This window comes from Homo sapiens, chromosome 12 (genome assembly GCF_000001405.40).
Source record: "Homo sapiens chromosome 12, GRCh38.p14 Primary Assembly".
Taxonomy (NCBI): Eukaryota; Metazoa; Chordata; class Mammalia; order Primates; family Hominidae; genus Homo; species Homo sapiens.
Window position 1 is genome coordinate 112,060,641 of NC_000012.12, and position 17,900 is coordinate 112,078,540.

General features: G+C 41.8%; 1 protein-coding gene across 6 annotated transcripts in view; it reads right to left on the minus strand.

The window, feature by feature from the left end:
• The window catches only part of NAA25 (N-alpha-acetyltransferase 25, NatB auxiliary subunit), an 82,095-nt gene that overhangs the window by 33,952 nt on the left and 30,243 nt on the right, over positions 1–17,900 (minus strand). For all 6 annotated transcript variants that reach the window (XR_944730.4, XR_243023.5, XR_944731.4 and 3 more), the window contains 6 exons: positions 17,548–17,626; positions 15,038–15,149; positions 14,035–14,124; positions 11,255–11,424; positions 8,240–8,352; positions 541–748 (listed from right to left, as the gene is read on the minus strand). Coding sequence is in view for 3 of the 6 variants with exons in the window: in NM_024953.4 (NP_079229.2) it covers positions 541–748; positions 8,240–8,352; positions 11,255–11,424; positions 14,035–14,124; positions 15,038–15,149; positions 17,548–17,626 (772 nt within the window). In the remaining 3 variants the exon portion in view is untranslated. The remainder of the gene's footprint in view (positions 1–540; positions 749–8,239; positions 8,353–11,254; positions 11,425–14,034; positions 14,125–15,037; positions 15,150–17,547; positions 17,627–17,900) is intronic.

The window sequence follows — 17,900 nt, forward strand, 5'->3', positions numbered from 1 at the left end:
AAGAAAAGAACATAAGCCAAGTGCCATGTATAACTAAATTCACAATATGCTCCTGACTTCATCTAATTCTTTAGACTACAGATAAATACTGACATCTTATAGTCAGACAATTATATGTCTATCACATATATCTAGCAAAGGCCACACCTATCTGAAGATCATCTATTTCTAAACTAAATATTTATCTTACAATTTACAATATTCTTTTTGTTCACTTACAGTCTATATATTAAGAATATTTAGGCCTACAAGCAGAAAATGTGATAATTATCATAAACTATGCAATCTATATGAGCCCCAATCTAATAAAAAGTTAGCTCATCAGATCAAGAAGAATACAGACAACTGAAAGCCAATCAGAATTATTTAAAACTCCAGGCTTAAGAAAGGCTTTACATCATATTACTTAGATGGTCTTCCCAGACAAAATAGTCTCCTTACAAAACTCATTAAAACAGGGTGCTACAGGTGCTTAAAAAACTGCCTTCTAAGTCTTAGTGTAGATCAGGGAACTACTGCACATTTTGAATGGTTGCTCACCAAATTCCAGTCCATGCTGGTACCTTAACATCAATTCTCTGACCACACTCAATTTCTGATTTTTATCCATGGTGTGGTACAAGCCAAGTAACCTCGTCAGCTGCACCACACACAAATGTTGCTGCAGAGCTCTGATGTCAGCAGGCAGTGCCAGCTTATCCTCTGTTGGTGTCGACAAAGGAACAACTCCAAGTAACTGATTAATAAACTGCAAAGTGGGGAAAAAAGGAGCAAAGGTCTCAAAACACAACTAGTCTTCAGTAGGCCATAATTAACAGAAATTGAATGGTCTAGAAAAAGACATCAAGAAAAAAAAAACTAAAATTCCTTTCATAAACCATTTTCTATCTACCAAAATAGCTAAAACAAAAAAAATTTGTGACAGCACACAACACTGGTGAAGCTCCAATGAAACTGGCACACTCATTCATTACTGGCCAAAAGTATTTGTCAATACCACGTACTACAGGCAGTGAAAGATTTTTATACTTCTGAAAATGTTCCATAACTTACAGCATATTAACATAATATATATTACAGCAATGAAAACATTAGGAAGACTATAGAAAAGAGCAGATTACCAAAAAATTAAAAAAAAATTAATCTGTAATTATGCTGATAAATTCTGAAAGGAAAGGTTATACATGGAAAGATACTGTTTACCTTATGTCAGTGACCCTACATTTTTCTTAATTGAACTTATAATTATAGATTCATACTCAGCTATGAGAAATGAGATCCCATGTACCATTCATCCAGTTTTCTCCGAATGGTTACATCTTGCCTTAAAATGTTTTTCATCCTTTAAATTTGGATAAAAATTTAAAAATAAAACCCACATACCAGTTCTAGTTATGTATTTATTAAATACACGCTTATTTCCTCTCACTTCTAAAATCCTATTAAGATGCCAGTAAGGAATAAAAAAAGAAGAGGCTGGGTGCAGTGGCTCAGGCCTGTAATCCTAGCACTTTGGAAGTCCAAGGTGGGCACATCACTTCAGGCCAGGAGTTCAAGACCAGCTGGGCCAACATGCTGAAACCCCATCTCTACTAAAAATACACAAAAAAATTAGCCAGGCATGGTGGCGCGCACCTGTAATCCCCGCTACTCAGGATGCTGAGGCAGGAGAATCGCTTGAACCTGGGAGGCAGAGGTTGCTGTGAGCCAAGATTGTTCTACTGCACTCCAGCCTGGGCAACAGAGCGAGACTCCATCTCAAAAAAAAAAAAAAAAAGTTATAAAAGAAAAAATAGGCCGGGTGTGGTGCGCGGTGGCTCACGCCTATAATCCCAGCACTTTGGGAGGCCAAGGCGGGTGGATTGCCTGAGGTCAGGGGTTCGAGACCTCCCTGGCCAACACAGTGAAACCCTGTCTCTACTAAAAATACAAAAAATTAGCTGGGTGTGGTGGTGGGTGCCTGTAATCCCAACTACTCAGGAGGGTGAGGCAGGAGAATCGCTTGAACCCAGGAGGCGGTGGTTGCAGTGAGCCGAGATCGCACCACTGTACTCCAGCCTGGGCAACAAGAGTGAAACTCCGTATTAAAAAAAAAAAAGAATAAATCCACACAGATCAAGAATATGTGAAGAGGCCGGGAGCAGTGACTCACACCTATATTCCCAACAGAGATGGGAGAATCACTTGTGCTCAAGAGTTCAAGATCAGCCTCGGCACATAGTGAGACCTCATCTCTACTAAAAAAACAAACAAACAAACAAACAAAACACATAGCCAGGCATGGTAGTGCACGCCTGTAGTCCCAGCTACTCAAGAGGCTGAGGCGGGAGGATGACTTGAGCCCAGGAGTTTGAGCCTGCAGTGAGCCATCATTGCGCCATTACACTCCAGCCTGGGTGACACAGCCAGACCCTGTCTCAAAAAAAAAGAAGAAAAGAATAATACATGAAGAAATGAGAGATGACAGCAAATAAAAATCATGAAGATTTCAAAAGATACAAGAACAGGTGGTTAAGTAGTAACTTACGTTGCCAAGAACACTGAAATCTAACAGTATGCAATGAGGCAGACCCCAATAAGCAGGAAGCGCACTCTAGTCACAGAATCTTGGAAGACTCAGAGACTAAGGGCACCAGGTGTCCCTAAAGGCTAAAGTGCTGATGGGACTAAAATAGAATATATTAATTTCTAAGAAGTTAGGCCCCTCCAAAAGTTCACAGATGGAATTTCTAAGTGTGAGTAGAACAGCCTGGGTTTTACAGCCATAAGGCACTGAACCAGAGACAGAGTCAGAGACAGCAGTCATAGCTGAAAACAGGGGAATAAAGTAAAATTTGCTTATTCAGTGATAATTTCAGGCTCCCACCCTATACTCCCAACCATATCGGAGAATGCTATCCGACAAATATGTAAGTTCCTAAACAGATAGTAGCAAACAGGCATTTTGGAATGGAAAGCATTTCTTACATTGGTGAAGAGAAGGGTAGAGAGAACAAAATCTCATGTTTTATCCTAAGTGTATTGGGGGAAATTGATTTGTTATAAACAACTAATCACCTTACACAGAAGGGCACCAATAGGATAAGACTATAACTATAAAAATAAATTATTAAATAAGAAAATAATTTAGAAATATGGAGGAAAATAACAAAAAATTTAGTTGAAAGTGATTTGCATCTGTTGAGCTGGAACAAAAGGAGTGACTACTGCCTCTCAATATAAGCCTTGCGATACTATTTGACTTTTTCAATTTTATACAGTACATGTATTTCTTCTTCCTTTTTTGGGAGGGGGACTCACTATGTTGTCCAGGCTGGACTCTAATTCCTGGGCTCAAGCAATCCTCCTGCTTCAGCCTCCTGAGTAGCTGTGACTATAGGTGTGTGCCACTGCACCCAGCTTCAGTATATGTAATTTTTTGATACAAATAAAAAAAAATTAAAACAAAATCCTACTCATCCTGCAGTTTAACATCTGTAATGAATTTGCTTCAATTTACCTATAATTCTATTAATTTTAATCATTATGATCAGATATATATATTTCATAATTTTAACAAACTGCAGCACTGATTTTCATGTTTTTGTTGTTGTTGTTGTTTTTGAGACGGAGTCTCACTCTGTTGCCCAGGCTGGAGTGCTGTAGTACAACCTCGGCTCACTGCAACCTCTGCCTCCCGGGTTCAAGCGATTCTCTTGCTTCAGCCATTCGAGTAGCTGGGACTACAGTACAGGCATGCACCACCACACCTGGCTAATTTTTGTATTTTTAGTAGACACGGGGTTTTGCCATGTTGGCCAGGCTGGTCTCGAACTCCTGAACTCAAGTTGCCCGTCTCATCCTCCCCAAAGTGCTGGGATTGCAGACATAAGCCACCATGCCCAGCCATTATTTTCATGTTTTTGATTAAATGCTTCTATAGTTTCTACTGCCAGTTCTTCTATTCTTGCAAGCCATTTTATATATTAGTTAGGTTTACTGTGGCCTTCTTTAATGAATTCTAAAGAAACATCTTCCTGACAAGGTTTTGTTACAAAATAATCTGCTCATTATTTTAGTCTGTACAGTTTTACTGCTGTGCAAAAAATTTCTTTAAAAACTAGAATCGTTGAGGCTGGGTGCAGTGGCTCACGCCTGTAATACCAGCACTTTGGGAGGCCGAGGCTGGTGGATCACTTGAGGTCGGGAGTTCGAGACCAGCCTCACGAACATGGAGAAACCCGGTCTCTACTAAAAATACAGAATTAGCTGGGCATGGTGGTGCATGCCTGTAATCCCAGCTACTTGGGCAGCTTAGGCAGGAGAATTGCTTGAACCCAGGAGGTGGAGGTTGCAGTGAGCCGAAATCGCGCCATTGCACTCTAGCCTGGGCAAGAAGAGCGAAACTTGTCTCAAAAAATAAAATAAAATAAAAAAATAAAAACTAGAATCAGCCAGGCATGGTGGCTCACGGCTCACGCCTGTAATCCCAGCACTTTGGGAGGCCAAGGCAGGTGGATCACCTGAGGCCAAGAGTTCAAGACCAGCCTGGCCAACATGGTGAAACCCCATCACTACTAAAAATACAAAAATTAGGCTGGGCACAGTGGCTCAGGCCTGTAATCCCAGCACTTTGGGAGGCCAAGGCGGGCATATCACTTGAGGCCAGGAGTTCAAGGCCAGCCTGGCCAAAATGGTGAAACCCCATCTCTACTAAAAATACAAAAAAAATTAGCTAGGCATGGTGGCGGGCACCTGTAATCCCAGTTAGTCAGGAGGCTGAGGCAGGTTCTCTCTTGAACCCGAGAGGCAGAGGTTACAGTGAGTGGAGATTGCACCACTGCACTCCAGCCTGGGCAACAAGAACGAAACTGTCTCAAAAAAAAAAAAAAAATTAGCCAGGGGTGGTGATGGACGTCTGTAATCCCAGCTACTGGGGAGGCTGAGGCAGGAGAATCACTTGAGCCCGGGAGGTGGAGGTTGCAGTGAGCCAAGATTGTGCCATTGCATTCCAGCCAGGGCGACAGAGCAAGACTCTATCTCAAAAAAATAAATAAATAAATAAAAAACTAGAATCATTTTATTGTTTAGCTAAAACCCCAAAGCAAATGAAACAAAAGATTAGAACATCACCCAGGGCGAGCCACTTCAGGATAACTGAACTCACTGGCTCACTCTTAGGGGCTAGTCAGACTTTAGAAAGATTTGGTTCATAATTCATTAGGACAATTCTCAGATTGACTTGGACAGTTCGTAATCCTCTGACAAACATACTTGCTGACTGGCAGGATATTTAGCTACTGAAGTTATCCTACAGTCAAAAAGTGGCAGCAAAATTACCTCTCTCAAGTAAAATTTACATAGACTAGGACTATAAACTCAATGTAACAGCTTTAAATCCTTATTCTCACAGAGCAGTGACTAGAGCTTATCACTGCTAGCATTCCAGTAAGGGTCATCTGAATAGACGATTCTTACTATGTGGGATCACATGAGATGACCTAAGATTCTCAAACACACCAATGAAGTAGAGCTGTACAGAAAAGGTTACTGGTACTAGATTCATGGTAGCAAACCTTCATAAATCTCATCTAAAAGTAGCAAAGTGTTCCTCTAATGCACCCCCACCATTTGATGCTTCAACTAGCAAGACAATAAGCACTGTAAGACAAGATCAGTTATTCCTTATCTTAGGGCTTAGCACACAATATGCTCGACACTTACTGAATGAATCCCTCCCACCTGGTTTATCTACATTCTACTTCAATCCCTCCAGTAACGTGAAGCTCACACACAGTATTTGAGAGAATTCTCACTACTAAGAAAGATATTTTTCTCAGTGAGCCAAATTCTGAGCTCCCTGTAGAACTTCCTGCTGGTCCCTGTTTTCCTCCCTCTTCTAAAGACAGCTTTTCAAATAAGTGAACGGCAATATCACTCTGACCTTGACAGACCAAACCTCTCCTCCACTCAACCATTTTTCCCTCTTATATGCTTTTAAATCCTCCTATAACCCATAACTCTCCTTTCTGGATGTGTTACAATTTATCCAGAAACTTCTAGGCTTGGCCTGAGCCCTATAACCACAGCAACTCAAACAGAGCTTTACTAAACCAACGTGAATGGCAGCAGTCATTTCAGAACCCCAGAGACCACTGGTTACTTATCAGTTGGGGAATGCACTGCTCTATCTGCCCAAATGTGTAACCCCAAGTCTGCCAAAGTACTGAACCTTCATGGACTACAAATGTGGTCACTAAAAAAATACTCTAATTATATCCACTGTGCTCCCAGTGCACTTCATTCATTCCACATGGGGACAATAGAAGGCTTTCTGGGAGAACGGATGATGGCAGCCCTGTTATAGAAAGACTTCCAATCTTCCCAGCCTGACCAACATGGTAAAACCCCATCTCTACTAAAAATACAAAAATCATCCAGGCATAGTAGCACACCAGTAATCCCAGCTACTTGGGAGGCTGAGGCAGGAGAATCCCTTGAACCAGGAGGCAGAGGTTGCAGAGAGCAGAGATCGCGCCAACACACTCCAGCCTGGGCGACAGAGCGAGAGCAAGACTCCGTCTCAAAAAAAAAGAAACAAAGAAACAAGACATTAAAAGGAGAGCCCACTAGACTTTAAAATGTAAACTTTGTGCTGCAGAATTTCATGAAAAAGATGAAAGAGCAAACTACAGACTGGGAGAATACATTTGAAACCACATATCTGACAAAGAACTTGTATCTAAGATATATAAAAATCTCTGCAAACTCAACAGTAGGGAACACTTGTTCTATTTTATAGAATAAAGCCACGCACAGTGGCTCACACCTGTACTACCAGCAATTTGAAAGGCTGAGGCGGGTGGATCACTTGAGGTCGGGAGTTCGAGACCAGCCTGGCAAACATGGCAAAACCCTGTCTCTAACTAAAAATACAAAAATTAGCCAGGCCTGGTGGCATGTGCCTGTAGTCCCATCTACTCAGGAGGCTGAGGCACGAGGATCACTGGAACCCAGGAGGTAGAGGTTGCAATGAGCCTGGGCCACAGAGCGAGACCCTGTCTCAAAAAAAAGAAAAAGAAAAAAATTAAATAAACGGAATCATACTATGTGTAACTTCTGAGATTGGCTTATTTCACTCCGCATAAATTCCTGGAGAGTCAATCATGTGGTTGCTGTGATCTCAGATCACTGCAACCTCCGCCTTCTGGGATCAAGCAATTCTCCTGCCTCAGCCTCCCAAGTAGCTGGGTCTACACGTGCTCACCACCACACCCAGCTAATTTTTTGTATTTTTAGTAGAGACAAGGTTTCACCATTATTGGCCAGGCTGGTCTTGAACTCCTGACCTCAGGTGATCCACCCACCTCAGCCTCCCAAAGTGCTGGGATTACAGGCGTAAGCCACCACACCCAGCCTCTTTTTTTCTTTTTTTAAGAGACAGAGTCTCACTCTGTCGCTCAGGCTGGAGTGCAGCAGCATGATTACAGCTCACTGCAGCCTCGAACTCCTGGGCTCAAGCGATCCTGCCGCCTCAGTCTCCCAAGTAGCTGGGGACTACAGGCACGTGCCACCGTACCTGGCTGTACTTCACATTCAAAAAATGACAAAATTATAAAGATGGAAAACATAATAGCTGCCCATAGATAGAGATGGGAGAGGGGGAGGTGGCTATTGTTATTAAAGGGTAGCATGTGGGATTCTGGTGGTGGTGGGACTGTTCTGTATCTTGACTACGGTAATAGTCACACACACACCCATATGTGCCACATACTGCACTAAATCCATACACAACACCCAAACACACAAAAATCAGTGCATGCAAAACTGGCAAAAACTGAGTAAGTTCAACAGATGAGAGCAATGTCAATTTCCTAATTATATTACACTATAATTGGGCAAGATGTTGCCATTGGGACAAACAGATAAAGGATATATGAGATGTGTTATTTCTTCCAATTACATGTAAATCGAGATGTGTTATTTCTTCCAATTACATGTAAATCCATAATTATCTCAAAATAAGACAGTCAAAAAAAGGAGAATCCACCATCTGTTAGGGCTTTACTCCCGTTGTGACTTAACCAGAAATTATGCCTTCAGTGTTGTAACACATAGAGTACTTAGCTTGACAGGGCAGTTATCATTGTATCTCATGATTATCAATTCCGCACATTTTAGAAAAGAAACCCAAACATTTAACCTCTGTGTTTCAACAAATAGAGGCACCCAACAAACTTCTAAACTGTATAGTACTTACTTTTGTACACTGTGTAGCAGGTAAGAGGTCAACAAACACCTTAAGGTCTGTAAAACAACAAGGTTTATCGCCAAACTTTTTAAAATACTGGAACATTAATTCTTCTGGATCACCTGGGGGACGGGGAACAAAATCACTTTATTACTCATGAACAGAAGCAATTTCTATTTAAGTGAGAATTAATTTGAAAACATTCATTTCAATTAAAACAAAATTTTGCTTGCAACTGGTCCCAAGATAGCGGGTTATCTCAACTACTTGTTCAGTTACAGACTGAACTCATTGTTCTACTCTTTCCCCCTTTTCACCACTGCACCTGACTAGTCTTTAAAAGATAAAAAAATAGGCTGGATGCAGTAGCTCACACCTGTAATCCCACACTTTGGAAGACTAAGGCGGGCAATCCCTTGAAGTCAGGAGTTCAAGACCAGCCTGGCAACATGGTGAAACCCCATCTCTACTAAAAGTACAAAAATTAGCTGGGCGTGGCAGCACATGCTTGTAATCCCAACTGCTTGAGAGGATAAGGCAAAGGATCGCTTGAACCGAGAAGGTGGATGTTGCAGTGAGCCAAGATCATGCCACTGCACTCCATCCTGAGCAACAGAGCAAGACTCCATTCAAAAATTAAATTAAATTAAGTTAAAGATTATAAAATAGGCTGGGTGCAGTGGCTCATGCCTGTAATCCCAGCACTTTGGGAGGCCAAGGCAGGAGGATCACCTGAGGTCAAGAGTTCGAGACCAGCCTGGCCAACATGGAGAAACTCGTCTTGACTCAAAAATACAAAATTAGCTGGACGGGGTGGTGTGCACCTGTAATCCCAGCTACTAGGGAGGCTGAGGCAGGAGAACTGTTTGAACCTGGGAGGCGGAAGTTGCAGTGAGCCGAGACTGCGCCACTGCACTCCAGCCTGGGCGACAGAGAGAGACTCCATCTCAAAAAAAAAAACAAAACTGTAAGCTAGGCCGGGTGCAGTGGCTCATGTCTGTAATCCCAGCACTTCGGGAGGCCAAGGTAGGGAGATCACTTGAGTCCAGGAGTTTGAGACCAGCCTGGGCAACATGGCAAAACCCCATCTCTACTGAAAATACAAAAATTAGCCAGGTGTGGTGGCGATCGCCTGTAATCCCAGCTACTTGGGAGGCTGAGGCAGGAGAATCACTTGAACCCAGGAGGCAGAGGTTGCAGTGAGTGGAGACTACACCACTATACTCCAGCATGGGCAACAGAGGGAGACACTGTCTCAAAAATAATAATAATAAAATAAAAACCTGTAAGCAAATTCTTAGTATGAGCAAAGAATTACTGCTTTCTTTTAGGGAGGTGGTAGTTTTTCCAGCAAAATTGTGAACTAGTACAATGACGATATCCTTTACTTATTGAGCAATAAGATCATAAAGAATCATTTTATAAAAAGATCTAAGGGCTTCATCAAATTTCCTGAAGGATTCTCTCAATGCTTTACTATCCACATCATTCTTTTCTGCTATCTTGTCATTATCCTAGTAAATTTTCTCTTCAGTTATAAATTGCTAATTCCACCAAATATTCTTTTGTCAATAGTTTTGTGAGTGCTTCAAGCAGATTTTCAAGAAACCTTTCATCCACTTCATGAAACTTTTCCCAAACTGGCAATTTTACTTTGAAGTTGATTTTGACTTTATTGTTTTTGACTGTTTTTATTTTTTTTTAATTTTTTGTTGTTTTGCGACAGAGTCTCGCTGTGTCACCCAGGCTGAAGCTGGAGTGCGGTGGCGCGATCTTGGCTAACTGCAACCTCCATCTCTTGGTTCAAGCGATTCTTGTGTCTCAGCCTCCCGAGTAGCTGAGACACAGGTGCACGACACCACGCTCAGATAATTTTTTGTTTTTGTTTGTTTTTGAGACAGAGTCTCACTCTGTCACCCAGGCTAGAGTGCAGCGGCAAGATCTCAGCTCATCACAACCTGTACCTCCCAGGTTCAAGCAATTCTCCTGCCTCAGCCTCCCAAGTAGCTGTAACTACAGGCGTGTGCCACCATGCCTGGCTAATTTTTGTATTTTTAGTAGAGACGGTGTTTCACCATGTTGGCCAGGCTGGTCTTGAACACCTGACCTCAGGTGATCCGCCCGCCTTGGCCTCCCAAAGTGCTGGGATTATAGGCATGAGCCACCACATCCACCCAATTTTTTGTATTTTTAGGAGAAACGGGGTTACGGCCATGTTGGCCAGGCTGGTCTTGAACACCTGACCTCAGGTGATCCGCCCACCTCGGCCTCCCAAAGTGCTGGGATTATAGGCATGAGCCACCACATCCACCCAATTTTTTGTATTTTTAGCAGAAACGGGGTTACGGCCATGTTGGCCAGGCTGGTCTTGAACTCCTGAGCTCAGGTGTTCCGCCCACCTCGGCCTCCCAAAGTGCTAGGATTACAGGTGTGAGCCAATGCACCCAGCCAGGTTTTTTTATTTTTTTAAATTAAATTTTTGAGACAGGTTCTGGCTGTGTCGCTCAGGCTGGAGTGAAGGCACGATCTCAGATCACTATAACCTCTGCCTCCTGGACTCAAGAGACTCTCCTGCCTCAGCCTCCTGAGTAGCTGGGACTACAGATGTGCGTCATTATGCCCAGCTAATTTTTTTGTATTTTTTGTAGATGGGGTTTCACCATGTTGCCCCAGCTGATCTCCAACTCCTGAGCTCAAGCAATCCACCCACAACAGCCTCCCAAAGTGCTGGGATTACAGGCGTGAGACACCGCAACCAGCTGATTTTGACTTTATTGTTGGGTCAGCAACAGAATGCCTGACAAAGACTCTGACGGAACAGGGAGATAAGTTAATGTTAAGCCAAGGTGAATATATGATAAAGGACTAATTTTATAAGTGATCCATTCATTAGCAAATATTTTCAGGCTATGAAGACATCTGCTTCCCAAACATGACTCTGTCCAGTGTAGATCTCAACTAATGAATATAGCACTTGGGTATTAAGGGCATTCTCCAGGCTTACCAGATATCATGGTTTCTTACCCAGTTTGTACTCATCGTTACAACCTTGACTTCGTAAACGCCTAATCAGCTCCAATTTAGCTAGATGTGGTCCTCGGAGATGGCGAGAACTTTTAGATTCTTCCGTTATCCGATCTTCTATAAACTTCACAGCTTTTTCTGCAGAATAATGTACTTCTCCTTCTAAAGAGCTGAGGAAAAGCACATGAAAAAGGAATTTTATTGCCTCTATTGTCCTTCCCGAAGCTTAAAGTCAAGCCAAACTCATTTAAAAAGAGAAAAACGACTTTGATAATATAAAATAATAGAAAAAGGAATAAAAGAGAACTATGAACATATTCTAACAGATAACATGTTATAAGATTACTCTCAATTTTGGCATTTGATTACTGCAGCATAACTTACCTTTTTAAAAAAAGAATGCATAATTTTGTATATATGAAATACTGCCTGGCTGGGCGTGGTGGCTCACGCCTGTAATCCCAGCACTTTGGAAGCCTGAGGTGGGCGGATCACTTGAGGTCAGGAGTTCGAGACCAGCCTGGCCAAGATGGTGAAACCCCATCTCTACTAAAAGTATAAAAAACTAGTCGGGCGTGGTGGCATGCACCTGTAGTCCCAGCTACTCAGGAGGCTGAGGCAGGAGAATCGCTTGAACCCAGGAGGGAGAGGTTGCAGTGAGCTGAGATCACGCCACTGCACTCCAGCCTAGGTGACAGAGAGAGATTCCATCTCAAAAAAAAAAAAAAGAAAAGAAAAAAAAATTGCCTAATAAAAATATAAGGCTGGGTGTGGTGGCTCACACCTAAAATCCCAGCACTTTGGGATGCTGAGGTGGGAGGACTGCTTGGGCCCATGAGTTTGAGACCAGCCTAGGCAATGCATGGAGACCCCATCTCTACAAAAAATTTAAAGCAGCCAATTGTGGTGGCACACACCTGTAGTCTCAGCTACTTGGGAGGCTGATGTGGGATGATCACTTGAGCCTGAGAGGCAGAGATTACAGTGGGAGGCAAGATTACACCACTGCACTCCAGACTGGGTGACAGAGCAAGACCCCATCTCAAAAAGAAAAAAAGGCCAGGCACGGTGGCTCACACCTGTAATCCTAGCATTTTGGGAGGCCAAGGCAGGTGGATCACTTGAGCTCACGAGTTCAAGATCAGCCTGGGCAACATGGTAAAACCCCATCTCTACAAAAAATACAAAAATTAGCCAGGCGTGGTGGCTCATGCCTGTAGTCCCAAGCTGCTTTTGGGGCTGAGGCAAAAGGATCACTTGAGCCCAGGAGGCAGAGGTTGCAGTGAGCCAAGATCACACAACTGCACTCCAGCCTAGGTGACAGAGTGAGACCCTGTCTCAAAAAAAACAAAAATTAAAAATTAAATACACACACACACACACACACACACATATATTTTTGAGATGGGGTCTTGTACATTTTATTGCTTTAAGAATGAAAACTGAGAAAAATTAGGTAACCTAGTTAATATTACGAAGCAAGCATCAGCTCATAACTGTCATCTTGAATTTTACTTCTGTATTAATTTTTTAAAAGATCCCATTTATTCACTTTTTTTTGAGAGGGAGTCTTGCTCTGTCGCCCAGGCTGGAGTGCAGTGGCACGATCTCGGCTCACTGCAAGCTCCGCCTCCCGGGTTCACGCCATTCTCCCTCCTCAGCCTCCAGAGTAGCTGGGACTACAGGCGCCCGCCACCACGCCCAGCTAATTTTTTGTATTTTTAGTAGAGATGGGGTTTCACCATTCACAGGATGGTCTTGATCTCCTGACCTTGTGATCCGCCCGCCTCCACCTCCCGAAGTGCTGGGATAACAGGCGTGAGCCACTGTGCCCGGCCCCATTTATTCATTTAACTCTAGATGCCTATAAAAAGGAAAAAAAATTTATTGTAGTACTGCCTACAATAGCCAATAACAAAAGGACAAAGGAAAAAAAAAGAGATCTTCAAAAATCCAAGTATCATCAATAGGGAAAATGCTAAATGAATTATGGTACATCTGGAGTACTCTTAAGCCACTGGGGGGAAAAAAAATGAAAGAGATCTACATGTACCAGAAATGAAAGATGTTCAAGATATATTTCAAGGCTGAAAAATAACAGGTTGCAAATCGTGTCTAATACAATCCCATTTTTATATTAAATATAAGAATAATTAAGCCGGGCGCAATGGCTCACACCTGTAATCCCAGCACTTTGGGAGGCTGAGATGCTGAGATGGGTGGATCACCTGAGGTCAGGAGTTTGAGACCAGCCTGGCCAACACGGTGAAACCCCGTCTCTACCAAAAATACAAAAAGTAGCTGAGCACGGCGGTGGGCACCTATAGTCCCAGCTATTCGGGAAGCTGAGGCAGGAGAATCGCTTGCTTCTGGGAGGCAGAGGTTGCAGTGAGCCAAGATCGTGCCATTGCACTCCAGCCTGGGTGACAAGAGCCAAACTCCATCTCAAAAAAAAAAAAAAAAAAAAAAAGGAGAAAAAGAAAAATTATCTTAGCATAAAGATGGAAATAAATCTCACGGAAAGGCACCAAACTATTAACAAGAGTTATTTTTGGAATGGTAGGATAAGTGGAAATTAGCACACCACATATTTTGGCACTAACATGATTTTTAGAATGAACTTGTGTATTTTATACTTTAAAAAATATGAAAAAATGTCTTACTTTGAAAGGAATACTTTATTGAGACAGAAAAAGAGAATTCAATTGGCTTATAATGAAATCCTTTCACTACACTATATTAAAAAGTGCTGTTATAATTCAGGAAAGAAGACAACTTACTGTTCACCTTCAGCAGGAGGACTCCAGGCCTCTTCAATCAGTCGAAAGACAGAATCGAAATAAGTCAGATAGAACTGCCAGTCATCTGAGCTAAAATCAGATTGAATGATGCACACAGGATTAAACCCAAGTTGTGACAGATCTTCCTTAGGAACCATGATATTCAATTTATTTTGTAAGTTATATTTTAGTATGTAGTAGGTTGGCTTACCCCCACCCACTCCATGTTTCCTTTGCAAATCTAAAAGGGCATTTTCAAAGTAATACTACTTTGTATTTGTAAAGAGTAGTAAACTACTCTTTCCTTCAATAAAATGACCAGGTCTAGAAAACTAATATTCATAACAGAAAAGTCCCCACATAAGCACTTCCAAAATAGAGGGAAGGGGAGAGAAGTGTTGTAGCAAAGAATGAAGCCTCTCTCTTTTAGGGGAATACTGAATTTGAGAAATTAATGATTTTCAGTGTTCATTCTTAAGCCCTAACTAGAATTCAGCACCATGGTGGCACAAGTATCTTTTTTTTTTTTTTGAGATGGAGTCTCATTGTTGTCACCCAGGCTGGAGTGCAGTGGCATGATCTCAGCTCACTGCAACCTCTGCCTCCCAGGTTCAAGCGATTCTTGTGCCTCAGCTTCCCGAGGGGCTGGGACTACAGGCACGCACCACCACAACTAGCTAATTTTTGTATTTTCAGTAAAGACAGGGTTTCGCCATGTTGGCCAGGCTGGTCTCAAACTCCTGACCTCAAGTGATCTGCCCACCTTGGCCTCTCAAAGTGCTGGGATCATAGGCATGAGCCACCATGCCCAGCCTACAAGTACCATTATAATACTCTACTGAAAGATGAAGGCTCCTTAAAAACTTTTAGAAACATGCAGGACACAACTACTATAAGAAGACTTTATGCCCAGAAACTTCAAAACACAGACACCAAGAAAATCAATAGTGAGGTCTTAAAGCCTCACTACAGTCAAATGGTACAAAAGAAAGCTTTTACTCACTTTTTTAGTAAGAGGCGCCGGGAAAGGGCATTGCACTCTGGCCACCTGCTCAGCTTCTTGTACATAGCCATGCATTTATTTTCCCGACTCTGAATCTCACTTGTCAACTTCTCTAAAATCAAAAGTTATAAAAGTTGGTAAGCTGGTTTCATTTCTGCTCAATAACCAGAATAGAGTCCAACCACAAGAAGGAAAATGTCACATTTTCTTTTCTTTTTTTTTGAGATGGAGTTTCACTCTTGTCACCCAGGCTGGAGTGCAATGGCACGATCTTGGCTCACTGCAACCTCCACCTCCTGGATTCAAGCGATTCTCCTGTCTCAGCCTCCCAAGTAGCTGGGATTACAGGCATCTGCCACCACGCCTGGCTAATTTTTGTATTTTTAGTAGAGACAGGATTTCACCATGTTGGCCAGGCTGGTCTTAAACTCCTGACCTCAGGTGATCCACCCATCCCAGCCTCCCAGAGTGCTGGGATTACAGCTGTGAGCTACCGGGCCCGGCCTAAATGTCACATTTTCTTATTCACTCTCTTAGAAAATGGGACCACTATTACATACAAACTACTACTATCTTATTAAAGATTATTTTACTTCAAAGAAAAAAGTACATTACTGACAGTAAATTTTTATAATCATTTTCTTTGTAAAAGGATAGGTTTCACAATGTATTGGGTTGAACATCTATTAATAGTACATGGGATATACTTATAAAATCCCAACAGCATCTAGGGACTAGTAAATTTAGTCCATAGACAAGCTGCCCATCCATACAGTTCCAAAACATCAAAGAGGACTGAGCTGACATGAGCTAAGAAAGATGAGATGTTGGAAGAAGACAAAAAAGAGTGGAGAGGAATCAAATCTTTCCAAACAACTGAAAACAAAAAAACTAGGATGATAGTTCTGACCAAATTAGATTTGCCCAACTGTTTAGCAGATTAAGGATACCAAAAATTACATTATGAATTTCCTGTTGAGAATCTAACTTTTTACTATCCATAGAGCTATAATGTAGTTTAAAAAAAAAAAAGGGCCAGGCCTGACAGGTCACACCTGTAGTAATCCCAGCACTTTGGGAGGCTGAAGCAGGCAGATCGCTTGAGACCAGGAGTTCGAGACCAGCCTGGGCAACATATTGAGACCCCACCTCTACAAAAAATATAAAAATTAGCCAGGTTTGATGGCATACGCCTGGAGTCCTAACTATTTAGGAGGCTGTGGTGAGAGGATAACTTAAACCCAGGAGATCAAGGCTGCAGTGAGCTGTGATGATGCCACTGCATTCTAGCCTGGCTAACAGAGCAAGGCCCTGTCTCAAAAACAACAACAACAACAAAAAAAAACAAGAAGTTTCTTGTGAGTAGCCTAAATATCCATCAAAAACTGGTTAAGTAAATTTCTACATTCACACTGTGGAACACTGGACAGTTATTAAAGGAGTGAGGTAGTGAACTTTATCTCTAGGAAATACTATTTAGTTAAAATAATAATAATAATAATAAAATAATGGAGGCCAGGCGTGGTGGCTCACACCTGTAATCCCAGCACTTTGGGAGGCAGAGGCAGGCAGATCACTTGAGGTTAGGAGTTTGAAACCAGCCTGGCCAACATGTTGAAACCCCGTCTCTACTAAAAATACAAAAATTAGCTGGGCGTGGTGGTGTGTGCCTGTAGTCCCAGCTACTCACGAGGCTGAGGCAGGAGAATCACTTGAACCCAGGAGGCAGAGGTTGCAGTGAGCCGAGATCGCACCACTGCACTCTAGCCTGGCCACAGAGTGAGACTCTGTCTCCAAAAAAAAAAAGAAAGAAAGAAATAATGGAGCCCAGTGTGGTGGTGTGTGCCCGTCGTCCTAGCTACTTGGGAGGCTGAGATGGGAGAATCACTTGAGCCCAGGAGTTCAAGTCCAGCCTGGGCAAAACAGTGAGACCTCATCTCTTTAAAATAAATAAATAAATAATAAAAATAAAGTATGGGTATAAGAGTATGCACAGCAGAGGTCACAAACTCAAATGCCTTCATAAGACAGACATACAAATAAAGAAGGAATGTTTGCGGTATCTACAGAGTACAAATCCTGACTAGAGGGGCATTAATTAATTTAAAATTTTTAAAGAAAAATTTTTTTTAAATAAAAACATTGTGCTAACTGAATAAGATTATTCTATGAGCCAGGTATATTATGTTTTCATTCGTGTTTAAAAAAAAAAGTGGGGAAGATGAATCTTTACAAGAATATAAAGTGTAACTGGAGGAAAACCTAGGGGAAGACGGCTAGAGATCTGGAGTATAACCTTTCACACTCCTTGAAGTTTCTGAATCTGTTATTTTCAAGTAAAAACATTTTTAAAAATAAATTTACAACATACAGAAAAGTCTGGAAGAATATAACAAAATGATCAAAAGTGTTTATGTCTTTATATCCTTATGTGGAAATTTTCTACAATAAACATTTTTCATGTTTAAATAGGAAAAAAAAAAAGCTTTAAGAAAATGTTTAAAAATTACCTCCTAATTTCCCTCTGATGACATCCAAGGCCTCCTGGTACTTTCCCAAACGTTCCAGGATCATATAATAAAGTTCAACCTTACAGAAAAAAAACAAGAAGTGCAACCTCTGAAACTTTTCAATAATAAAAAGACAGTCATTTATAGGTTTTTAAAAAGTTATTTAATAGAGCATGTCTTCAAATGAGATGAAACTGACAGTACGAAGCAGGTAACAGGATCTTCTCCATCTATATCTCTCCCGTCTATACACATCTCAGCCTAGAGTACTTGCTGGAAACAGGTCAGTGATTAGACCTACGCTGAGGGCTTCAGATTTACCCAAAGGCCAAAAGTGAGGACCCAGCTATCAA